A 7030-nucleotide genomic window follows, 5' to 3' on the forward strand; every position below is an offset into this window, starting at 1 on the left:
TAATCTCAGCTACTCGGGAGGCTGAGGCAGGAGAATCACTTGAACCCAGGAGGCAGAGGTTGCAGTGAGCTGGGATGGCACCATTGCATTCCAGCCTGGGCAACAAGAGTGAAACTCCGTCTCAAAAAAAAAAAATTACAAAAACATATATGAGTTATGTATGTCTTTTTGTTTCATCCAGACGTCAGTAGCCCATTAACAGAATGCTCAGACATATAGGCAATAATAATTAGATTTAATAATCTCAGATAGTTCAGCAACTTTCTGTCAATACAAGCCACCGTTTTATTTATTTATTTATTTAGAGACAGAACCTGTCGCCCAGGCTGGAGTGCAGTGGCACCATCTCAGCTCAGTGCAACCTCTGCCCTACAAGTTTAAGCGATTCTCCTGCCTTAGCCTCCCAAGTAGCTGAGATTACAGGCGCACACCACCTCACCCAGCTAATTTTTGTATTTTTAATAGAAACGGCGTTTTGCCATGTTGGCCAGGGTGGTGTCAAACTCCTGACCTCAAGTGATCTGCCCACCTGGGCCTCCCAACGTGCTGGGATTACAGGCATGAGCCACCGTGCCCAGCCAAAGCCATCATTTTAAACACATTTTAGGCCTGGTGCAGTGGCTCACACCTGTAATTCCAACACGTTAGGAGGCTAAAAAGAGAGAATCACTTGAGGCCAGGAGATCAAGACCAGCCAGGACAACATAGCAAAACCCTGTCCCTACAAAAACATTTTAAAATAAGCCAGACATGGTGGAGTGTGTCTGTAATCCCAGCTACTCAGGAGGCTGAGGCAAGGAGAATCACTTGAACCCAGGAGTTAGAGGCTGCAGTAAGCTATGATCATGCCACTGCACCCCAACCTGGGTGACAGAGCCAGACCCTGTCTCTTAAAAAAAAAAGTTAACACATTCTATTTTGTTGTTATAAAGTGGCTTTAAAAATTTTTTTTGTTTGATTTGGTTTAGGTGGAAGTGTTTTTTTTTAATTTTGAGACAGTCTCACTCTGTGTCACCCAGGCTGGAGTGCAGCGGCTCCACTGCACTCTGCTCACTGCAACTTCTGTCTCCCCGGTTTAAGCAATTCTTGTGCCTCAGCCACCTGAGTAGCTGGGATTACAGGTGCACACTAGCATGCCCAGCTAATTTTTGTATTTTTAGTAGAGACAGGGTTTCACCTTGTTGGCCAGGCTGGTCTCAAACTCCTGACCTCAAATGATCCACCCACCTCAGCCTCCCAAAGTGCTGGGATTACAGGCATGAGCCACCGTGCCTGGCCCATTATAAAGTTATATTTGTCAATTTACAAAGACAAATTATATTTTAACAGCTGTTAACTTGATTTATAGCATTTACATACTTGGAATATGCCTCCATTTTTATGCTTGCCCTATATGTTAGTGACCTAGAATGAATTAGGTGCCTGTTATTAATCCATCAGAATTAAAAGCAATATCTGTCTGGCACAGTTACTCGCAACTGAAATCTCTGCAATCATTCAGAAATAAGAGATGCCCTTTTCAAAAAGAAGGCCAGGCATGGTGGCTCACACCCATAATCCCAGTACTTTGGGAAGTCAAGACAGAAGGATCACTTGAGGCCAGGCGTGTCTACCAAAAATTTAAAAATTAGCCGGGCATGGTGCTGTGCACCTGTAGTCCCAGCTACTCAGGAGGCTGAGGCAAGAGGATTGCTGGAGCCCAGCATTTCAAGGTTACAGTGAGCTATGATCATACCGCTGTATCCCAACCTGGAGACAGAGTGAGACACTATCTCTAATAAATAATACTAATAAATAAAAGTTAAAAAGAAACTATTGCTGAAAATTGTTCATTTATAATGCTGTCTTATGATAGGATGTCATGGACAGTAATATATAGACCAGAGACATCCCTTTGTAAAGTTATGTGCAGAAACATCATATATCTCAAAGGAAGGAGAAAAACAGCAGGGGAAAGAAAGTAGGTAAATTGAAGTGGACATCTCCGCTGTGATTGAAAGGACCGTATCAATGAGGGTGTCAGACTTAATAGCTGGGGAAATGAGAAGACAAATGGGCCACTCCTAGAGACTTAGAAATACACTGTGGAAGAGCAGGTAAAAGCAGCAACTTGTTAAGAGGAAAGAAGAGCAAAGGTACAAGGAAAAGGCAGGGGCAGGAATCAAGATTTGTGGAGCATCTGCCATGTGCCAGGCCCAGTGCTAAGCATATAACATGCTTTGATGATACCTTCAACTACACAACACACCAGAGGTTTAATAGGATTTAGTATATGAAAACTGTATGTAGGAGGCTACTTTAAACAGCCCCTAGTGCCTATTAGGCAAAGTTCAAAATTGTTAAAAAGGTAGCTGGGCACAGTGACTCACACCTGTAATCCCAGCACTTTGGGAGGCCGTGGCGGGCAGATCACCTGAGGTCAGGAGTTCGAGACCAGCCTGACCAACATGGAGAAACCCTGTCTCTACTAAAAATACAAAATTAGGCAGGCGTGGTGGCGCATGCCTGTAATCCCAGCTACTTGGGAGGCTGAGGCAGGAGAATCGCTTGGACCCGGGAGGCAGAGGTTGCAGTGAGCCGAGATCACGCCATGGCGCTCCAGCCTGGGCAACAAGAGTGAAACTCCGTCTCAAAAAAAAGAAAAAAAGAAAAAAGTAAAGGCACACACTACCTGTTAATCACCCCAGTCTCTCCTTCCCTCCCCTGTCATAGTGCACTTCAGCACACCAGCACATCAGCCATTTCATGCCTTTGTGTCTTCGTGCATGCTGTTCACGTGGCCCAGGGTGCCTTAGCTCATTGGCGAACTCATGCATCCTTCAAACCCCAATTCAAATGTTATCTTCTCTGTGAAGTCTGAGTTCTCAAAATCTGCCAGGCCCAGCAACTCTTTCTTCTTTCTGTTCCTATAAGTCCTTCCATAACATAAAGCATTTATCACTTGGCATTAAAATTGTTAGTTCTTGTGACTATCTCCTCCAGACAGTAGCTCCTAGTGGGCAGTGCAATAGCCCAGCACCTACACTAGTGCCAGGAACACAGTAGGGATGTAATACTAACCAAAAGAATAGTCCAATGGCCATTCACAGTGGTTCACATCTGTAATCCCTGCAACTTGGGAGGCTGAGGCAGGAGGATTGCTTGTGGCCACGAGTTCTAACTTTCTAACTAGCCTGGGCAACATACCAAGATGCTGTCCAAAAAACAAAAAAAATTTAAGGAATAGTTGAATAGACCAGGCATAGTGGTTCATCCCTGTAATCCCAGCACTTTGCTGGGCCAAGATGGGAGAATCACTTGAGGCCAGGAGTTCTAAAACCAGCCTGGACAACATGGGAAAACCCTGTATCTACACAAAATAAAAAAATTAGCTGGGCATGGTGGTGTGTGCCTGTGGTCCCAGCTACTCAGGAGGCTGAGACAGGAGGATCGCTTGAGCCCGGGAGGCAAAGGTTGCAATGAGCTGAGATCGCACCACTGCACTCCAGCCTGGGCAACAGAGTGAGACCCTGTCTCAAAAAGAGAAAAAGAGAAATGAAAAAATAATAATATGACAACCAGTGCATCCAACAAAACATCCCTCAGTGATGGAAGTATTCTGTATCTGTACTTTACAATACAGTAGCCTCTAGCCACACGCAGCTGCTGGTCACTTGAAATGTGGTCAGTGCGAATGAGGAACTGAATTTTTTTTTTTTTTTCTTGAGAGGGAGTCTTGCTCTGTCACCCAGGCTGGAGTGCAGTGGCACAATCTCTGCATCCCGGGTTCAAGCGATTCTCCTGTCTCAGCCTCCCAAGTGGCTGGGACTACAGGCATGTGCCACCACGCCCAGCTAATTTTTTTTTTTTTTCTTGAGACGGAGTTTCACTCTTGTTGCCCAGACTGGAGTGCAATGGCACAATCTCGGCTCACCACAACCTCCGCCTCCCAGGTTCAAGTGATTCTCCTGCCTCAGTCTCCCTAGTAGCTGGGATTACAGGTATGTGCCACCATATCTGGCTAATTTTGTATTTTTAGTAGAGATGGGGTTTCTCCATTTTGGTCAGGCTGGTCTCGAACTCCTGACCTCAGGTGATCCACCCACCTTGGCCTCCCAAAGTGCTGGGATTATAGGCATGAGCCACCACGCCCGGCCTAATTTTTGTATTTTTTGCAGAGACGAGGTTTCACCATGTTGGCCAGGCTGGTCTCCAACTCCTGATCACATGATCCACCTGCCTCCACCTCCCGAAGTTCTGGGATTACAGGTGTGAGCCACCACGCCCGGCGGAACTGAATTTTTAACTTCAATTAATTTAAGATAACCACATGTGGCTAGTAGCTACTATATTGGACAGCACAGCTTTAGATTATCATTGACCTGCAACATAGGCAAATTCTACCTCATTATAATTTTTTTGTACTAAAAACAAACAAAAACTCAGCCACTTACAAGCTGAGTAATTTCAAAAACCTTCTTTAGCCTTTTGCTTCTCATTTTATTAACCTGGAAACCCAGCAAGAGGGACTAGATGACAGGAGAAGACTGACAGCTCAAAGTCCAGAGAATTGACCTCCGTTCCACCAAGCCCTCTGAGGGGACAGCTAAAGGGAGTAACCTGTATCCCTTCCCCAGATGGGAGGACAGACAAATGCTTATACTTCTACCCATGTGGATCCCAGGCGTTTCCTGCAGAGAGTGATAGGTGATGGGTTTATTCCAATCCATGACCCAGAGCACCATGTTGAAAACATCTACAAAGTAATGAAGCCTTAACCCCTTCTGTTCTTCGGGTTGGAGTGGTCTGAGATCATTTACGTTTTCATACAACTTTCTGTGTCAGGGAGGCTGGGCGTGGTGGCTCACACCTGCAATCCCAACACTTTGGGAGGCTGGGGCCAGTGGATCACCTGAGGTCAGGAGTTCGAGACCAGCCTGGACAACATGGTGAAACTCCATCTCTACTAAAAATACAAAAATTAGCTGGGCCTGATGGCATGCACCTGTCATCCCAGCTACTTGGGAGGCTGAGGCAGGAGAATCGCCTGAACCCAGGAGCCAGTGGTTGCGGTAAGCCGAGATCGCGCCACTGCACTCCAGCCTGGGTGACAGAGCAAGACTCTATCTCAAAAAAAAAGGAAACTTTTCTGTGTCAGGGATAAATCACTCAACTTCTTTCTCATAGGTTTTTGAGACTACAGACTACAGAGAATGAGGCTTGTAAAGGCAACGGGGTTTATAATTAGGTTCACTAAGGCTGATTATCTGATTTTTCTTTTTCTTTTTTTTTTTTTTTTTTGAGAGGGAGTCTCGCTGTGTTGCCCAGGCTGGAGTGCAGTGGCGCAATCTCGGCTCACTGCAAGCTCCGCCTCCCGGGTTCACGCCATTCTCCTGCCTCAGCCTCCCGAGTAGCTAGAACTACAGGCGCCCGCCACGACGCCCGGCTAATTTTTTGTATTTTTAGTAGAGACGGGGTTTCACCGTGTTAGCCAGGATGGTCTCGATCTCCTGACCTCGTTATCTGCCCGCCTCGGCCTTCCAAAGTGCTGGGATTATAGGCGTGAGCCACCGCGCCCGGCCGATTATCTGATTTTTCACCTGCAAAGAAAGCACTTTGCAATCCCTAAACTCCAAGAAGAAAAAATGCTAAATCCCCTTTCCAGATTTTCTGAGATAACTGGGTTTGTGTGTGCATAACAGTGGGAAAGACCTATCCAGTTCCCTTTCCTTAAAAGGGGAGTAGGGGTTGGCCGGGCGCGGTGGCTCATGCCTGTAATCCCAGCACTTTGGGAGGCCGACCGGTGGATCATGAGGTCAGGAGATCCAGACCATCCTGGCTAACATGGTGAAACCCTGCCTCTACTAAAAATACAAAAAAAAAAATTAGCCGGGCGTGGTAGTGGGCGCCTGTAGTCCCAGCTACTTGGCAGGCCGAGGTAGGAGAATCGCATGAACCCAGGAGGCGGAGCTTGCAGTGAGCCGAGATTGCACCACTGCACTCCAGCCTGGGCGACAGAGAGGAGGAGGAGGAGAAGTAGAGAAGTAAAAGAAGGGAGGAAGGTCTGGAGGGAGGGGAGGAGGAGAGGGAGGACAGCTGCCGTAGCCAGCCAAGTGTGCATCAGAATCACCTGGAGGGCTTATTAACCCATGGATCGCTGGGCTTACACGATTCATTTTGTTAAGTTTGGTGCAAAAGTAATTGTGGTGTTTGCAGTGTTGAAATTTGCCGTTTGCTATTAGAATGCATTCTTAAATAAGTGTGGTTATGTTATACACCGCTTTAATGCACATTTCTCGCTTTTTGTTTGACTAATGATTTATTACTTGCTGTTTATTTTATATTTATTTTAGACCATGGAAATGATGTTAGACAAAAAGCAAATTTGAGCGATTTTCTTATTCAAGTTAAAAATGGGTCGTAAAGCAGAGGAGACAACTCACAAAATCAAAACGTATTTGGCCCAGGAACTGCTAAGGAATGTACAGTGTGGTGGTGATTCAGGAAGTTTTGCAGGCCGGGCATGGTGGCTCACGCCTGTAATCCCAACACTTTGGGAGGCCAAGGCAGGTGGATCACCTGAGGTTGGGAGTTCGAGACCAGCCTGACCAATATGATGAAACCCTGTCTCTACTAAAAATACAAAAATTAGCCGGCCATGGTGCCATGCGCCTATAATCTCAGCTACTCGGGAGGCTGAGATGGGAGAATCGCTTGAACCCAGGAAACAGAGGTTGCAGTGAGCCAAGATTGCACGATTGCACTCCAGCCTGGGCAACAAGAGCGAAACTCTGTCTCAAAATAAAATAAAAATAAAAATACAAAATTAGCCGGGTGTGGTGGCACATGCCTATAATCCCAGCTACTGGGGAGGCTGAGGCAGGAGAATCGCTTAAACCCGGGAAGTGGAGGTTGCAGTGAGCCGAGATTGCACTCCAGCCTGGGCAACAAGAACAAAATTCCATCTCAAAAAAGAAGAAGAAGAAAATGAAGAAGTTTTGCAAAGGAGATGAGAGCCTTGAAGATGAGGAGCATAGTGGCCGGCCATTGG

The sequence above is a fragment of the Homo sapiens genome, chromosome 6 (assembly GCF_000001405.40).
Source record: "Homo sapiens chromosome 6, GRCh38.p14 Primary Assembly".
Lineage (NCBI taxonomy): Eukaryota > Metazoa > Chordata > Mammalia > Primates > Hominidae > Homo > Homo sapiens.